The 19,699-nt window shown below is 38.9% G+C and overlaps 1 protein-coding gene and 1 long non-coding RNA gene across 11 annotated transcripts in view; both read left to right on the forward strand.

The window, feature by feature from the left end:
* NRG1 (neuregulin 1) overlaps window positions 1-19,699 on the forward strand; it is a 1,134,802-nt gene that overhangs the window by 793,482 nt on the left and 321,621 nt on the right. The window lies entirely within an intron of this gene.
* NRG1-IT3 (NRG1 intronic transcript 3) lies at window positions 8,020-9,999 on the forward strand. The gene is made up of 3 exons (NR_047475.1): window positions 8,020-8,055; window positions 8,500-8,710; window positions 9,742-9,999. It is a non-coding gene; the product is annotated as an NRG1 intronic transcript 3 (long non-coding RNA).

The following is a 19,699-nucleotide window of genomic DNA, read 5'->3' on the forward strand; positions in this document are numbered from 1 at the left end:
CAAGCAATCCTCCTGCCTCCCAAAGGGCTGGGATTACAGGTGTGAGCCACCGCACCCAGCCAATCACACTGTATTTAATATCACAACGAAGTGCAGTCTGCCCTTCTCAGGATGATCTTAGATCTATTTTTCAGCAAGTCGCATTCGGGTGGAGCAAAAGCTTTTAAATGGTGGTCAATTACACAATGATTAAATTTAGTTTACCATTATAGGTCAAAGGGAAGTGGGAAGAGTTTGATGACTGTGTATTTGTCATGTTTCTAGTTATAGTGTACAACTCTGCCTGTTTATCTGAGTGAGTGCCAAGAGGTGAGGTCAGGGCAGGGGCTCTTGCACATGGCACATACTATCTGCCCCACAGCTATTTTGACTTGGACAGTCATTGTGCTGGGTGGTAAAAATTCCAGTGGGCTGGGTAGGACATACTGGGGCCCTGTTTCCTCTCATCTGTGTTTGAGAACTAGGCAGCATTGCATCAAATGGAAGGAACAAGTGATGAGACATCAGGAAAATATCAGAATGAAAGAGAAATGCAAGGCTCTAAAGGAAGTTCCAACTCACTTCGACACCCTCCAGTTAGCAAAGAGGTGACAGAATCCCAAAAGGGCAGGGGAGAGATTATGGATAGCAGGCTCCTGGAGGAAAAACTAGGTATGTCCAGTAGCAGATCTGTGGAAACTATTAGAAACCGAGCTAATTGTGGACTTCTTAGCATGCCTCAGGAAATGGGAAGGAACTTTTCCCTTTTGGGCTTGTATTTTTTCCAATTTTCCTTGTTCGGGAAATAATTAATTCTTTAAGCAATGTAACCTCCTGCTGTGATTTCTCAATTCCACAAAAGAGAATAATTATAGATTAATAATGGACCAAAATAGAAAAAGCTAAATGTGTGTAGCAGATAAGTAGGAAATGTTCTGTCTTGTAAAGGGTATTGTTTCGGTGCCCGGCAACACAGAAACAATTCTCATCTATGCAGCTCTAAATGGATGTTAGAATTCACCCCTCTTTCCTACTGGTATAAAATTTTCAGTCTCAGTAGGACTAACGCTTTGACACATCCTAAACCTCACCAGGAGTAGGAAATATTTCTCATAGCATAAATATTTTTTCTTCCTTGAACTGAAAGGTTTGTGGCCTTCCCCATGCATGATAACTGGGCAGTTTTCAGAATATACCTCACAGTAAAACTTAGACTTCACACCTGTAATCCCAGTACTTTGGGAGGCCTTGGTGGGCGGATCCTGAGGTCAGGAGATCAAGACTATCCTGGCCAACATGGTGAAACCCCATCTCTACTAAAAATACAAAAATTAGCTGGGCGTGGTGGCACGTGCCTGTAATCCCAGCTACTTGGGAGGCTAAGGCAGGAGAATCACTTGAACCAGGGAGTCAGAGTTTGCAGTGAGCCAAGATCACACCACTGCACCCCAGCCTGGCGACAGAATGAGACTCCATCTCAAAATAAAATAAAATAAAATAAAATAAAATAAAAAACTTAGACTTCAAGTTTTAACTATTGAAAAACTTCCATGAATTGGGTACAGTACTGAGCTAAACGTTGTATATATGTTATTTATTCAGGAAATATTTTCAGGTACTATGCTGAGTGCTAAAAGCATTGTTCTGCCTTTTAATACTAACAATGCCTGTGAAAAATATGTAGGATTATCCAGACTTTATAAATTTAAAACATTAGGATTCAGAAAAGTAATATGCACATGCTCCTATACTTTACATGTGACAGACTGGAATCAAATGGTTTAGGATGCCCCGAATAACTGAACTCTTAATGCCCCAGAAGCCCAGATCGGGACCCACCACTGGGAGTTACAGCCCTCTGGAGCCAGCTTCAGAGGTGCACAGGTTTATTCTCTTCCCTATTCACCAGTGAAAGAAGCCCAGAGCCTCCATTCCAGGCACTCTGTGCTTCCCAAAGTAACAATTACTTAATTTGACAAGATAATTTAAAGAGATTGCCAAAATAACTTACAGGAGATTGCCAGTATAATCAGCCCTCCCATATCTGGGGATTCTACATTTCCAGATTCAACCAGTTGAAGAGAGAAAATATTTGAAAAAAAAAATTTAAAATAATACAAATAAAAACAATACAACATAGTATTTATATCATATTGGGTATTGTAAGTAATGTAGAGACCATGTAAAGTATATGGAAGGATGTGCATAGGTTATATGCAAATATGCTATTTTATGTCAGGGAGTTGAGCATCTGCAGATTTTGATATGGAGGCAGGGGTCCTGGAACCAACATCCCATGGATACCTGAGGGACAAATGTAATCACCATGTTTTCCCAGGTGGATTTTTAACAGTGGCCTTCTGGAGACACTATGCCTATGGTTTAGTCTAATTGTTAAAAATTGGGATAGGTGAAGAAAGATGGCAGATAGGCACAATGGGAGGCAGATATTTCCATAAATGCCTTTTAAATCAGATCCTTTCTAGATTCACTTTTGGCTCTGGATCTGGAAGCTATCATCATGGCAACCCCAGAGTCCCATTGGTTTGCCTATTGGTTAGGTGGGCCAAGGTGTCCACATATCACAAAAGAGTTCTCAAAAAATTTCTTCCCAATAACGAGGGAGATTTATATTTAAGAGCACCTTTAGCCAAACTGAAGGAAGGGAAAGTTCACAAATATGGTAATAGCTCAAGTCAATGAATTAGAGGCTTTGTGTAGGGTAATTGTTGAGACCTCCCCAGTTGACTGACCAAAACAATTCTTTGTTGGCTAGCAGAGTTAGAGAATAGAATTTTGCATAATCCAAGTATTTCATATAGGTCCCTTCTGCTGTTACTGGAGCACTAGTGAGCTATTGTATTTGTGGTCATAATATTAGCTGCATAGGTAGTTCTATAAATGTGTCTGGTTAATAATCCACAAACGTCAGTGTTTTACATTTGTAAGTAAAGAAGTCTCTGTCCACAGCAAAAACGTTACCAGGCAATATTTTTTAGCATTAAAAATATAAAATAAAATCAAGTTACTTCAAAGTTCTAAAGAACTAGAAGTCAATAAAATTCATAAATATTTATTTTTCAATAATTCTGGATGTATCTTAGGATCCTAATATAGGATGTACATCCTAATATAGTTATGTTTACCTGTCATTTATTTTAATTGATATATGCCAGTACTTCTATAGTAAGATTTTATTGGTAAAATGTTTTTTATTCTTCAAAATGCAGATTCCTTTCATAGGGTATATTCATCTACCATTTTCCATTCTTTGAAATCTGAAATAAGTCCTAACCTTATACATTCACCAGGAGTGTGTATTAATCACTTCTCACACTGCTGATAAAGACATACCTGAGACTGGGTAATTTATAAAGAAAAAGAGGTTTAATGAACTCACAGTTCCACATGGCTGGGAAGACCTCACAAGCATGGTGGAAAGTGACAGGCACATCTTACATGGCAGCAGGCAAGAGAGAATGAGAGCAAAGCAAAAGGGAAAACACCTTATAAAGCCATCAGATCTAGTGAGACTTATTCACTACCACGAGTATTGTGTGAGGGAAACCACCCCCATGATTCAACTGTCTTCCACCAGGTCCCTCCTACAACACATGGGAATTATGGGAGCTACAATTCAAGATGAGATTCAGATGGGAACACAGCCAAACCATATCAGAGTGTATACTTTCATTTTATTCCTCAATCTTCATTCCTTAAGTTTTCAACAAATAATTTGCTTTTGAAAGGATTAGGAGCTTAAGTTGGCTTTATAGTTATCCAGTAACCTTTTGATTTCTCCAACCAATGATTTGTAAAGGAATCTTCAGATTCAGATTTATCCTTTCCTACTTCATCTTCAATTGCTAAATTAAGCATGAGTCCCATCACTGAGATAACAGTCTTTCTTGGACAGAGTTATGCCAGGTCTTTTTCTATGTAAAGCAGTCATCTATTAGGCTGTCGTTGGTCTGTCAAGATGAAACTGTGTGCATTGGATCCATGTGAATGAACATAGAACATTATACAAATATTGTATGTTTCTATTCTTTGCTTGAAGCTTCTGGTTACTTAGATCTTATAGTGCTTCATAGTATAAAAAATGGTTAAAATACTTAAAAGTTTTAAAGATAAAGATGTCAGTGTCACAGTGCATAACTGGGTTTTACATGGTCAAGTATACACACATACACACACACACACACACACACAATTTAAAAAATCTCTGATGCACTATGCCATACTCAGCACCAATCCCCATTACAACTCTCCCAATGTTTCCTGGCCAGGCAGGTCACCAAGATGTTTGGGACTGTTTATGCCTTTGCACCTACTCATCATAATATTGTGTGGGGATCAATGGGAGAGATATTTGGCCCATTTTTAAGCCATATCAGGGGATCTTCCACTTCCTAAACTCACTTAGACTTGGAATTTAAGTCTAGACTATTTTGTTTTTAACCTTGCTAACACCTACCTACCTACCTACCTATTCATTGTCCATAGCCTAGGTAGTCTTGAAAAACCCTCCATTCCCGCAGCTTCCCCCAATGCCTCCTCTGAACTCAGTGTCACTCCTGTGTGCCTCCTTTAGTGTTTTTTTTGTTTGTTTGTTTTTGTTTGTTTGTTTGTTTTTGTCATTGCACTCACCACCTTATATTGTAAAAGTCTATTACTAAGGAAGTATTCCTCCCTCCTTTATGTGCAGAATTCCTTGACAGAAAGGATAGGTCATGTTTACCTCTGTCTTGCCTCCAATGCGCAGCATGAAGCCTGGCTCTATGATCAGCTCTAAAGAAATGCTTGTTGATGGGCAAATAAACTCGAGAATCTCACACCAGAGCCAGACCGGAAGTTTCCTTCATTTCATGACTGGTTTTCACAAAAACAAGCATTAGGGAGAGTGGAAGGAAGAGCTTGCAAAATACCTTACTACTGCATTATGAATGTGGAGTTGTAATTTTGAGGTTCTTATCCATGAAGATGGTCCTTAAAATTCAGAATTTTAATTACCAACATAACACCATCCTTTCTTACTAGTATCATTATTTTATACTATGTTTTCAGTAGGACATATCTGATGGAAATACATTTCTTTTGATATTATTTATTATAACTGGTGAGCTACATTCCACCCAATAGTAAATGCCTCTCAGCAAAAAGATAGATACTTTTGATAGTTAATATATTCAGATATTATGTTGTTTGTGGAAACCATAACTTAATAAATTTTAAAACAGTGTCTTCTTTAAAAGTAATTTTTTATTAAACTTTGTATTTTGAGGTAATTGTAGATTCACATGCAGCTATAAGAAATAATGCAAACAATACTTTTTACCCAGTTTCCTCCAATGGTGACATCTTGAAAACTATCGCACAATAGCACAACTTTGATATTGACACTGATACAATCAAGATACAGAACATTTTCATCCAGGCATCCCCTGTGCTTAGCCCTTTTGTAGCTACGTCTACTTCCTTTGCCCACCCTCACCTTAAAACCCTGGCAATAATTAACATTTTGTCATTTCAAGCATGTTATATAAATGGAACCATAGAGTATATAACTTTCAGGTATTGGTTTTTTCCAATCAGCATAATTCTTTGGAGATTCTTTACTTAGCATACTTCTCTGGAGATTTATCTAGGTGCTTGTGTACTAGTAGTTCATTCTTTGTTATCGCTGCATAGTATTTCATGCTAGGGATGTTGAGCCATTTACCCATTGAAAGATACTTGGGTTGTTTCTAGTTTGGGGAGATTATAAATAAAGCTGCTATAAATACTCATACACAGATTTTTGTGTAAACATACATTTTCATTTCTCTGAGATAAATGCCTAGGAATGAGTGTGATTTCTAGATCTGATAGTAATTGCATGTTTAGTGTTTTTAAGAAACCAACAAAATATTTTCCAAAATTAGATGTGCCATTTTATATTCCTACCAGCAATGTGACAGCAATTGTTTTTCTGTATCTTCACCAGCATTTGGTGGTGTTACTTTTTTTATTTTAGCCATTATGATCAGTGCATAGTGATAGCTCATTTTGGTTTTACTTTGCATTTCTTTAGTGGCTAATGATGTTGAACATCTTTTCATAGGCTTATTTGCATCTGTATATCTTCTTTAGTGAAATGCTTCTCTGTTCCTGTTGCCTATTTTCTAATTAGATTGTTTTTTGACTGTTGAGTTTTAAGAGTTCTGTATATATTCTTGATAGCAGTCCTTTGTCGGATATGTGATTTACAAATATTTTCTCCCAGTCCATAGCTTGTCTTTTTTATTCTCTTTACTGTTTTTTTCCACAAGGCAAGAGCTTTTAATTTTGATAAAAATAACTTTTTATACTTAATTGGCAACCAAATACCTAAATGTCTTTTGATAGAAAAACTTGTCCTAGATAATGTAAAATCATTTTACATATTCACAGATCCATCTCCACTAATGTCATATAAGTTTAAAAATCACAAAGTAATTTGAACAGATTCCTAAATTATAAATTAGTTAACAGTTATTTTTTGCTCTAATCTTTAGTTGTACATTTACTTCAAATAAACATTTGTTAAAAACGTACTCTGTACTGAGGAATGAGGATACAAAACTCATAATTTGTCATTTCTTTGCTTCAGGGACTTACATTTTACTGGATTACATCTAAATTTTTATTTGGCAGTTTTATTCCAGGAAGATCATGACAGTCTTGTTTTCTAAATCTTAACTGCCTTTTGATGAAAAAGAAAGATAAGGCTTTAATTTCTCTAGTGAAACCTGAAGAAGTAAAATAAAATAACTTGTATGTCCCTTCACAAGCCACAGTCAGAACACTGTCACAATCTCGACCTTTGCTCCCCAAACCCTATTTTGCAAACCAGATGCTATTTCTTTGGACATTACAGGCTATTTTCAAAATACATCAGAACTTAACAAAACATCATATTAGCTAAATAGCACTATAAGAAACTGCTTATAATATTAAAATTATGTCTTGAGTTTATAATTATATAAAAATTGAATCTACCCTAGAGCAAAAATTATAATTAACTACTAAAAAATCGAATAAGTGATTTTTTTTTTTTTTTTTGAGGCAGGGTCTCACTCTATGGCCCAGGCTGGAGTACAGTGGTGTGATCATGGCTTACTGCAGCCTTGATCTTCTGGGCTCAAGCAATCCTCATCCTCCCACCTCAACCCCTCCAGTAGCTGAGACCACAGGTGCACCCCACCACACCTGGTATATTAGTTTATTTTCACATTGCTGTAAAGAACTACCTGAGCATGTGTAATTTATTAGGAAAGCAGGTTAAATTGATTCAGAGTTCCTCCTGGCTGGGGAGGCCTCAGGAAACTTACAATCATGGCGGAAGACAAACAGGATGCAAAACACCTCTTACAAGGTGGCAGGAGAGAGAGAGAGTGAGAGGGGAACTGTCACACACTTTTAAACCATCAGATCTCGAGATAACTCACTGTCATGATAATAGCAAGGGGGAAGTCTGCCCCCATCATTCAATCATCTCCCACCAGGCACCTCCCCTGACATGTGGGGACTACAATTCTAGATGAGGTTTGGTTGTGGACACAGAGTCAAACCATAGCACCCGGCTAATTTTCTTTTCTTTTCTTTTTGGTAGATATGGAGTGTCACTATGTTTTGTTTCCCTAGCTGGTCTTGAACTCCTGGGCTCAAGTGATCTGCCCACCTCGGCCTCCCAAAATGCTGGGATTACAGGTGTGAGCCAGTACACCCAGCCAAGAAGTGATTTGTATAATGGCAGGATTATGAATGATTATTTCTGTGTCTTTAATTTGATCATATTTTTAAAACAGTCATTATTTTTGGTCATCATGCTATATACTACAGAGAGCAGTTTTTAATTTGTGAACGTGTAAGTCAACTTGATTTAGCTGAACATAGCAGAGTCATCAATCAAACTGATTGATGACTAAGGGTCCGCAGGGTAACACATCATCATAGTTGTTTCCATGGTGATGAATTATGATGTCACAAACTCATCAAGACTGTGACTCAGTGAACCATCTAGACAGAGGATGAAATGCAGTAGTTCACCAACATGTATGCCATCTTTGTATTATATGGTATTATTAATTAAAACGAAGGGCTGAGTATTTCTTTCATTGAGATTACATGAAGATATTACGTATATTCAGACTTGCCTGAACACGGCTATGCTGGTTTTAAATTGAAGGTTTTCACAAAGCAAAAAATTGAGAAACAGAATTTGACATAGAATTGTGTATTTATTAGAAAAGATCTTTTCTTCTCATATTCTGAAAAGCACACTCATTAATTACAGTTAAATTCAGGCAAATTTGGCAAATTTTCGTCAGTATACTTATTCTTTTGTTAGTTAATAGCTTTGCTTTTCAGTTTTAGATATTGGTATTAAATATATAAAGAGAAAAGACCTTAGTGTTCTCATGCTCAGAGATTAAGAGAATAGTTATAGGTTTGAAATTAGGCACTTTCCCTGATAGTTTTTGTTGGTACATGTTTTAGGTTATGTTTCTATGAACAACCAGATGCAAACGTCCTGGCATTCATCCTGCCTGCTTGCTGTTTGTACCATCTCCGTGGTAGCAACCATCCAAGCTGCTGGAAGCACAGACTGAGCTCTATGAGTCAATTATTTTATATACCTGGGAACGTGCTAGCCTTCCTGTCACTCTTTGATGTCACTATGTAGACAGTTTGCAGCCTAGGCAACATGGTAAGACCCTGTCTCCAAAACTTCCAAAAATTAGCCACCAGGTGTGGTGGTGCATGCCTGTAGTCCTAGCTACTCTGAAGGTTGAGGCAAAAGGAACCCTCAACCCCAGGAGTTTGAGGCTGCAGTGAGCTATGATCGCACCACTGCACTCCAGTCTGGGAGACATAGTGAGATGCTGTCTTTAAAATAATAATAATAATTTTAAAAATTAAAAAATATCTAGACAATTTCTCTGCTTTCAAGACTCTTCAAAGATCTCAAAGAGAAGCTTTACTCTGGAGTCTCAACAGAGGCCATTCAAAAACTCAACCTGGTTTTTCAACAATAAATTAGAAATGTAATGCTAACAGTAGGTGCCAAGGCCGAACATCAGGGAAAAGACATTAGTGACCTTGAGTTCTAGACTAGATTTTACCAGTTTCTGACCTTCAACTCTGGTACTCGATTTTCTCATAAATGTGAGAAAATATCTTAACCGTATCACAGAATTGATGTGAGAATTCAAAATAAAGCATATTTAAAGCTCCTAGGTTAGTGCTTCATTTATGAAGGTCAGTGCTTCATAAATGATAGTTATTTTTTTCCATTCAAAATAGAGATAAAAAAGACTTTATCTCACTAATGTGTCATGCAAATAAGGATTAATCCTGTTTTCTATTCCTGAAGCATACAGAATGTGATTTCTTTCTCCATCATTTCCATCTGACTATCATCTGGGAGAACACACAGCTGCTCCACATCTGGTGCAACACAGGCAGATGTAGCTGTCCAGAGGGAGAAGAGTGTTTGCTTTTCTCCACCTAAACACTGACCCTCTTCTGCTTAGATTCAAAGACTGTCTTCCTTCTGCAGGTTTACCTGAGCCTGGACTCAAAGAATTACCTTCATTATGAGCTAAAGGAAGTCAGGCCCATTCTTCTTCTGCCTGGCCCCTCTGGCTCTTTGGCACTTCCCACATCCTCCTCATTTGGAAAGGCTTCATGACTTTCTGGTTCACAAAGCAGCTCTGTTGTTGCTTATTTCCACTACAGGGAAAAAGTGAAACACTTCACTCAGGGCGCAGAACAATGGAAGTCCCTGGAAGGAAAGGCTTGCAAGAGAAAACCAAGTGGCTTCTGAGATATTCGAAAGTCCAGTTGTTTTCCCTTTTTAAAAATTTTCAGATGCTCTTTGATGCCATTTCATAAAGCCTGTGATTGGGCCAAAAGTCTTAGTTCACCATGTACCACAAATAGTGTACTCTATATAGCATATGCTTAACTAAGAAAAAATAAAGATTTAGAAATAGATGTATTGAGGACATGCCATTAAAAGCAGCTTCCATTGAATCAACTGTTTTTCAGAGTACTGTCAAGATTACCTTAAACTAGTCTAATCAAGGTAGGTGGTGGATTCCAAACTTGGGAAAAAGTGAGTCTTTGTATTCTGTGAAGTTTAATAACTACCCAAGGAAGAAGTGTTGGATACAACAACTATGAGTATCTTAGAAAGTATGTCTTTTTTTTTTTTCTGAGTCAGGGTCTTGCTCTATCACCCAGGCTGGAGTGCAGTGATGTGATTATAACTCATTGCATTGCAATCTTGACCCCCTGGGCTCAAGCCATCCTTCCATCTTAGCCTCCCAAGTAGCTAGGACTACAAGTGGATGCCACCATGCCCAGCTAATTTTTTTCTTAATTTCATTTTTGTAGAGATAGGATTTCCCAGGCTGGTATCAAACTCTCAAACTTCCTGGTCTCAAGCAGTTCTCCCACCTTGGCTTCCCAAAGTGCTGGCATTATAGGCATGAGCCACCACACCCAGCCTGGGTGTCTGTCTTTATGCTAAATGTCCGAGCCTTTCCATTTGTCTTTTGCCTCTTCATAAACCTCTGCTGAGCTTTATCAGGTCATTCACATCTTTCATTACAGGCAAGTGGTAAACTTAGTAATATGCTTCCTCTGGTGACAATGGGCAAAGGACTAGAAGCATAAGTAAAGAAATAGTAGACTGAAATAAGCGGATTTTGACATGCAAAAAGATGCAGCAAGGTGAACCTGGTTAAGAAATAGACTCAGAGAGCTTGAACATGGAAGGATGCTAGGACAAGTGGCAGCTAAGGCAGAAAGACAGCCATGGTTCCAGATGTCTGGGGAAACAATGGAAGGCAGATATTACAAAGTTTTCCATTTTGTACCAGAAGTGTCCGTATGAACACAAACTCCTAGTAAGTGTTCTTAATTGTTCTGTGGGCTGATGTGCATTTTTCTCCTACAATAGGAACTAGCAATCTACATATTATTTACCAAGCCTTCCTAGATAGAAGCATTTATGATTATTTTTTGTTTATATAAATGTCTTGCATTTACTAGAAAATCATGCTTTTCGAGAACGCATTTCTATTATGGAGTTTCTTAAAGAGAGAAAAAAAATGTATGGCTTTAGAAAAATCCTAGTGATTTTTTGACAGTATGAACTGTATTGTGTGTTCTTGTCTTGGATCAATATCATGGCACAATGCTTTGATAGTGTCTGAAGATTAAGATATACAATACAATTTCCTCCCTTCCCTTCTTTCCTTTTTCCTTCCTTCCTTTTTCCTTTCTTTCTTTTCCTTCCTTCCTTCCTTTCTTTTTCTTTCTCTCTCTCTTTCTCTTCCCTCCCTCCCTCCCTCTCTCTTTCCTCTTTCTTTCTGTCTGTCTGTCTGTCTGTCTTTTTCTTGAGATAGGGTCTCACTTTGTCACCCAGGCAGAAGGGCAGTGGCCCTATCATATTTCACTGCCACCTCAAATTCCTGGGCTCAAGGGATCCTCCCGCCTCAGCCTCTCAAGCAGCTGGGACTACAGGTGTGCCCCTCCATGTGCGGTTAATTGTAGTTTTTTGTTTGGGGTGGTTTTGTTTGTTTGTTTGTTTTTGTAGAGACTTTGTTGCCTAGGCTGGTCTCAAACTCCTGGGCTCAAGCAGTCCTCCCACTGCAACCTCCCAAAATGCTGGGATTATAGGTGTGAGCCACCATGTCCAGCCCAATACCATTTTCTTATGTTTCCCATATATGCATAATTTTACTTGCATGCAATTCTGAATGGATGAAACATGTTTTAATCACCTATTTTTCTACTTTGTAGAAGAGCCAAGGTAACATGAACTAAATCATTAAAGCAGTTGACTTGTTAGTGGATTGTGATAGGACTCAGGCATTTCCCAAAGGGGGAACCCATATTTTGGTAATCCCAGACATTTTAATTATATTTTTCTATCCATTCCTCAATGCCACAATGAGGAACAGCATTCTTTCCTGGGAAGTCTCACAATTTTGTCAAAAGTAGAAGAGTTGCCTTTGACGAATACAAATCCAGCAATAAAGAAGAACAGGTCTAACAAATGAGGCCACCTTGGAAAATGTCATTTTGCCCCTTTGAGCCTTGCCCATCTTACCTTTAGAGGAAGAGATGGGACTGAATCAGTTCAAAGAGCCTCGATAGCTTTAAATGTCTGTGATTGATTTTTCTGCAGAGCAAGATCAAACAAAACAGTATTTCCTAGCTGCTGCCCTTACATGTAGTGGTGATTCACAGAGAATTTGGGGAGGAAAGTAGCCATTATGGGATGTTTTGCAAAAGGCAATACCAAGATTGATCATCACCTGAGGGCGATACACTATAGTTGTTCCTCTGTATCCATGACAGATTAGTCCCAGGACCCCTTGCAGATACCAAAATCCACAGATGCTCATGTCCTGCTTATAAAATGGCATAGTATTTGTACACAGCCTTGTATATCCTCCTGAATACTTTAAATCATCTCTAGATTACTTATAATACCTAGAGTTGTATAAATGCTATAGAAAGTATTGTTATACTGTATTTTTAAATGTACATTAGTTTTATTTTTTTTCCGAATACCTTTTTATCCATGGTTGGTTGAATCCACGGATGCAGAACCCATGGATATGGAGAGCTGACTGTAATAGTCAAAGACAAGAGTGGCTGGTGGTAAGCACACTATCTGTCCACAAGTGAATTTCCCCTAAGAATCCTGCTGGTACATTTCTTCATTTCTTGAGATTATTGAACCACGTGATTTGCCTCACTGCTTATTTCACCTTCTGGGTGACATGGGCTGTGAATGTGCAGTTCAAGGCCTAAATATTAGCCCTGATTCAAAATGGACATTAACCAAAAAAACAAACAACAATGATACTGGCCAACTGACTTCTCTCACTTCTCTCTTCTCTTTTCTTTAATTCATTCCTTACCTATTTAGAATAGCTGAGGCTCATTTTTATCTTCTTATGACAGCCAGAATTGTCATCTATTAAGATTAAGTAAGGAAGGCATAATTGATATTCACAAACCACCCCAGGATTTATCAGAAGTGAGGGTGTTTCATATGGATTACTAATTGTCTAAAATTTGGCTCTAAGCACCTGAAGATCACTAGGCAGGAGAGAAGAGTAGGGTTTGTTGTACATGAGAAGAGGCTGTGGGGTGGGGATGTTCACCGAGAAGACTGCTTTGGTCTTTGATACTAGCATTTTTCCTTCTATATGGTTAACAAGGCACATATTTTCATTTTTATATCCCCAGAATAAAGGCTTGAAAGGAAACAAAATCTCAAATAAATGGACTAATTTGTTAAATTCTGGACTAAACCTCAGTTTATTTTAACAGCTTTAACAACGGTCTCTGGAGCTCATAACACATATAGAGCACTATTGGTGTCACACAAAACCTTGAAATCAGAATTGCCACAGACCGAATCTGATCTGAAATGGCATTTCATTCAACTGCAGCTTTGTGTCACAAGAACCTGTCTCTGTTTTCCTAACATGGGTATGATGCATATTCAGAAGCAGCCGAGTGATTTACTTCTTTTTTCATTACGCTTGTGGATTTGCATAGATTCAGAAGGGGCATCTTCTGGGAGGTATAAGAGTTTATAGAAAGACTAATTTCTTGACTAGGCACGATGGCTCATGCTTGTAATCTCAGCACTTTGGGAGGCCAAGGTGGGAAGATCACTTGAGACCAGGAGTTTGAGACCAGCCTGGCCAATATGGTGAAACCCTGTCTCTACAAAAAATACAAAAATTAGCTGGGCGTGGTGGTACATGCCTGTAATCCCAGCTACTCAGGAAGCTAAGGCACAATAATTGCTTGAACCAGAGAAGTGGAGATTGCAGTGAGCCAAGATTGTGCCCCTGCACTCCAACCTGGGCAACAGAGTGAGACTCTGTCTCAAAAACAAAAAAAAAAGGAAGATTGATTTCCTGTAGACAGAAGGAGTGTTTATATTGGCAGCAGCAATGCAGATCAAAACTTTGGGGTCACCCTCTTGAATATCTTATTTGTATTTCTTCTTGGGTTACTAAAGTCTTGAGGAGAAAAATGAATAAAAGGCTTAAGAGGATTCTCATTTCCATGCAAAGCTTCTCCACACTCCTGAGAGAAGTTTAGGGTCAGGAAGGAAGGTCAGACAATATAAACCTCAGCACTATTCAGTAAAATAGCCATGGGGAAAAATATGGTAAGTTTGTCTTAATTCATACCCAAGGACATTTAGCGCTCAGAAAACTAAAATACTTTTTATTTATTTATTTATTTATTTATTTATTTTGAGACAGAGTCTTGCACTATTGTGCGGGCTGGAGTGCAGTGGCGCAGTCTCAGCTCACTGCAACCTCCACTTGAACCTCCAGGTTCAAGTGATTCTCCTTGCCTCAGCCTCCCACGTAGCTGGGATTACAGGCGCCCACCACCACACCCGGCTAATTTTTTTTTTGTATTTTTAGTAGAGACGGGGTTTCACTATGTTGGCCAGGCTGGTCTTGAACTCCTGACCTCGTGATCCACCTGCATCGGCCTCCCAAAGTGCTGGGATTATAGGCATAAGCCACCTTGCTTGGCCCTAAAATACTTTTAATAAGATTGTCTCATCCTTCTCTTGGTTTTCCAATGGAAATGGTGGTATAGCAAGTCCATCTGAAACACTTCTGCAAAATAACAATGAAGCTAATCACTGTGGGAAACATTTACATCATATGTATTTGCATACAGAGGAAATTGATAATCTTGAGACATCAGCATACTAGAATAGCAAGAGACATGTTTTATTCTATTATATTCTCTTAGTCAGCAATGTTTAATTGTTGCTTAAAGGAAACTGAATAAAACGTGGGCGCAGTGGCTCCCACCTCTAATCCCAGCACTTTGGGAAGTTGAGGAGAGAGGATCGCTTCAGCCCAAGAGTTTGAGACCAGCATAGGCAACATAGTGAGACCCCATCTCTACAAAAAATATTTTTTAAAATTAGTCGAGCATGGCGGTGGCTCCCTGTAGTTCCAGCTACATGGAGGGCTGAGGTGGGAGGATCACTTGAACCAGGGAGGTCAAGGCTGCACCCTGGCCTGGGCAACAAAGCCAAACCCTGTGTCAAAAAAAAAAAAAAAATACGTAAAGCAACAGTTTTTCTATAACGGATTGCATGGTAAAAGGAAGGATGACTTTCTTACTATAACTCCTTATGATAATTTTTTCCAAAGTGTTAATCTTAGGGGTTGAAATTTTTATAGGTAATCATTAACTTTAGTAGAACATTATTTTAAAGTTTAGGTATTTCATCTGAGTATATTACTCTGGCTTTCCTAAGCTAGCTTAGTTATATATGTTCACTTCAGTTTGAGTCTCCACTAAATTTTAACATGAACAAAATATTATATGCAACACCATAGAAGCAATTGTTAAATCATTGTTACTTTTAATATCACCTAAATCTAACCTAAGTAAATGTGTTTATTTTTATTACCAACTGATGTAGATATACCCACATGGACAGAAAACAGCATAAACCACCAAAAGGACTTGAAAATTCCCTCTTCAAGACTTCTTTTGCCAATGACTAATGTTTAATGCTATTTGCTAGAGATTCTGGTGCCAGGAGGATTTCTAACCAGGTTATTTTATCAATAGGAATAAAATATCGAGGGCTTAAATTAGTGTAATCTCTCAAGATCTTGAATTTGACGTTTTCATAATTTTTACTTAATCATAGCTCCTGGGGATTGGAATTACTCTTTTAGCTGGCCCGAGTCTGGGAGGAGGATCCAAAGTCTTTGAGTTGTTTTCTTTTATTTCTTTTTAGCCCCTAAAGCACTGGAAATGGTTGGCCCTGAAGTGCTCCTAAGGTAACCGCAAGATGAGGCAAAACAGGATTGAGATGAAAACCAAGCTCACCCACATCCTACGTCAATTAGCTATTTTTTTTTCTGTGTAAACAATGGGAGGGAGGTGGATTGTAGCTTTTATGGTAGAGGTTCCTCGGCACCTCCTGACGCCCCCAGGGGTCCCCCCTGCCACTGCCCTCAGCCCAAATATAAGCTGACAACAAAATGTTTCTTCAAAGTGCTCATTGTTTACTCTATTCTGGCTTCTTCTTAAAGGTCATCATCATGTTGAATTATCTTGAGAAAATCCTCTGAAGTGTATGTGTGTGTGTGTGTTTAGGAAGGATGTGAGGAGGATTGGGAGGTGAGTCTCTGAATAACAAGTTGAAAAAAGAGTATGGAGGAAAGCGGTGTTTAAAATTGTCCAAAGCCATCGGCCGGGCATGATGGCTCACGCCTCTAATCCCAACGATTTGAGAGGCTGAGGTGGGAAAATTGCTTGAGCCCAGGAGTTTGAGACCAGTCTGGGCAACATGGTGAAACCCCATCTCTACAAAAAAAGTACAACAATTAGCTGGGCATGGTGGTGCATGCCTGCAGTCCCAGATACTCAGGAGGCTGAGATGGGAGGATCACTTGAGCCTAGGAGTTTAGGGCTGCAATGAGATGTGAGTGCACCACCATACTCTAGCCTGGGCAACAGAGCAAGACCTTGTCTCAAATAATAATAATAATATATAAATAAACAAATAAATAAAATTATCCTAAGTGAAATCAGTTGTTGATAGAACTGAAGTACATCAAGCCTAGTGGGACTGTGGTTGTCTCTCCAGCCTAAAAAAAAAAAAGAACAAAAACAACAACAAAAAAACTTAACTCCAAAATTGCTGTTGCTCCATTTATTTCAGGTGTAAGACTTCTTTGAGATTTAAAAACAATATAATCATTTACAATGTACTTTGTTGGACCTAAGCATAGGAAAATTCATTCATTCATTCATTCATTGAGTACCTGTTATATGCCAGGCAATGCACTAGGCACCATCAAAGATGAATAAGCTATGTGCTAAAATTCACAGTCTAACAGAAGAAACATGAAAGCAGAGTGGAAATATACTGTGGCAATACATATTTGGATATACTGGTATTAAAAAGTAAGGATGTTTCAGCTAAATCTTTTTTGGTGTTTATTTTTTAAAAATTCATCTATTAACTTCCTACACACCATGCATATATTCAGCTAAATCTTAAAGTATGAGAAGAAACATGCCATTCATGAAAGGGAAGAGGGAGCCAGTGCATCAGATACAACCTATGCAATCGTGAAGATTTATGGCAGAGCACAGGATATTTGGGGATTGGCAGGCATTTCAAAATGGCTGGCACATAAAGTTCCGGGATGGGAACAGGCTGGCAAGAGAAGAGATCATCGGAGCCAAAGTAACTGAACTGTGATTGAATTTTAGATATGATAATATCTATAGGAAACCTGGCAACCCGGTGGGCAGGTAAATATGATAGAGCGAAGATAGAATCTTCAGGCCTTCAGGGGACTAAGCAGGAATAGAATAATTTTATTGAGCACTTTAAGTGGACATTATGCTAGATTATTTTACATATTTCATCTCCTTTAATTTACACCACAACCCTGTGAGTGCAGGTTGATAAAGAATTAAATAAAATCCAGGTGAAGTAGCAGCACCTATAGTTCCAGCTACTTGGGAGGCTGAGGTGAGACCATTACTTGAGGCCAAGAGTTCCAGGCTGTAGTTCACAATGGTTGTGTCTGTGAATAGCCACTGCACTCCTGCCTGGGTGACACAGTGAGACCTCATTTCTAAAAAAGAAAAAAAAAATTGAGACAGGGTCTCGCTCTGCCACCCAGGCTGGAGTACAGTCACGCAATTACAGCTTACTGCAGCCTTAACCCCCAGGCTCAAACAATCCTCCCACCTCAGCCTCCCAAATAGCTTGGACTACAGGTACATGTCACCACACCTGGCTATTTTTTGTATTTTTTGTAGAGATGGAGTTTCACCATGTTGCCCAGGCTGGTCTTGAACTCCTAGGCTCAAATGATCCTCCTGCTTCCACCTTCCAAAGCGCTGAGATTATAGACGTGAACCACTGCACCTGGTCTAGAAATTATTTAATAATAAAAAAATGAAGACAGAATTCAATGAAGAGCATAGAAGAGTCTCTTAAACCTTTGTTTTAAGCTATGAGCCAGGAAAGAGATGGTGGCAAGGGTGAGATGGTTGCAGTGCTTTTTTGTTCACTTATCTCAGGCCTGTGTGTTCTGAGTTAAAGACAAGTCAGTTGGCAAGAGAAGGAGAGAGGAAGCTTCCCAGAACCATTTGAAGGAAAATTTGGAAAGTCTTCTCTAAGGGAGTTGCCCTCAACTACCTTTTAACACAAATGGAGGACTGAAAAACAAAACAAAACAAAACAAACAGGAAGGAATTGCAGATATACAGATCTTTGGCCTTTCAAACTATGGTATCTCTTAGTACTATTTTATATATTGATAATAATTATAATTTTTCTCAAACTTCCCAAAAGTGGAACATTGTGGGAAATAATATGGGAGTGGACATTTGAATTTCTGTTTGACTTTGCAGCAGAAATCTCTTTTCTAACTCTCTCTTTCAATCTCACCATCAGAGCCATCTGATTGCTTGATAACATGATTCTTTTTGCCCAGCCCTTGTTATCCTCCCTCCTGCCCTAGTCACCATGACATAGGCTCCACTCATTTCTACCTAGGAACCTGGATGCACTGCTTTGCACTATTGCCTCCTGGCAAAACAGGGCAATGAGAAAGGAAATGGAAGCCCAAATTCAGAGCCCTCCTTCCCAGCACAAGAATGAGGAGATGCCCTTTTTCCCCGGGGAGGGGGATTCTTCCCTCTCTCTTCAGTAATTGTCTTTATCACTGTCATGTTCTAGCCAGTCTTTATTATCCCCGCCACACAAATTTCATGTTCTTCTGGCAGTCAAATCAGGAAATTCAAGGACACAACTGCTCTGGCTTCGTAAAGATGGGGATCAAATTGTTTGAGTTGCTGATAGCAACTCTTTGCTTCTTGATTCTCCATGCCTCCTCAAGCTTTTTTGGCTGAACTTTTAGCCTTGGAACAGGGTCACTGGAAAATACTTCTTAATATCCTTAATTTCTAATTCTAATATTTGCCTTGTTTCATTTTGTTTATTTGGGGAGGATGAAGTTCAGGTGTTCACCTATCAAACTCACTTCCTTCTTTTTTTTAGACAAGGTCTTGCTCTGTCGCCCAGGCTAGAGTGCAGTGGTATGATGTTGGCTCACTGCAGCCTCCACCTCCCAGGTTCAAGTGATTCTCCCACCTCAGCCTCCCAAGTAGCAGGGATCACAGGCTCGTGCTACCACGCCCCACTACTTTTTTGTATTTTTTGGTAGAGACGGAGTTTCATCATGTTGGCCAGGCTGATCTTGAACTCCTGACCTCAAGTGATCTGCCTGCCTCGACCTCCCAAAGTGCTGGGATTGCAGGTGTGAGCCACCGTGCCCAGCCCTAACTTCCTTCTGATCAAGTCATTCTCAAAAATAAACATTTAATTGACTGTCAACTACAATGATAATAAGACAATGTTTGCCTTAAATGAGCTCTAAATCTAGTTGAAGGGATAACACATGGAATGGACTGGTAATAAAAAGTGGGCTTTGCTTGGTGCTACAGTTGTGATGTGAACTAAAGAGGGAGTGTTTTGGACTGACTTTGAGTTGGGGAGGCTTTATGGAGGAGGTGACATTTGAGTTGGGCCTTACGTTGTATTTTATGAAATAAAAAAAGAGGAAAGACAGTCCAAGAT

The sequence above is a fragment of the Homo sapiens genome, chromosome 8 (genome assembly GCF_000001405.40).
Source record: "Homo sapiens chromosome 8, GRCh38.p14 Primary Assembly".
NCBI classification, from domain to species: Eukaryota; Metazoa; Chordata; class Mammalia; order Primates; family Hominidae; genus Homo; species Homo sapiens.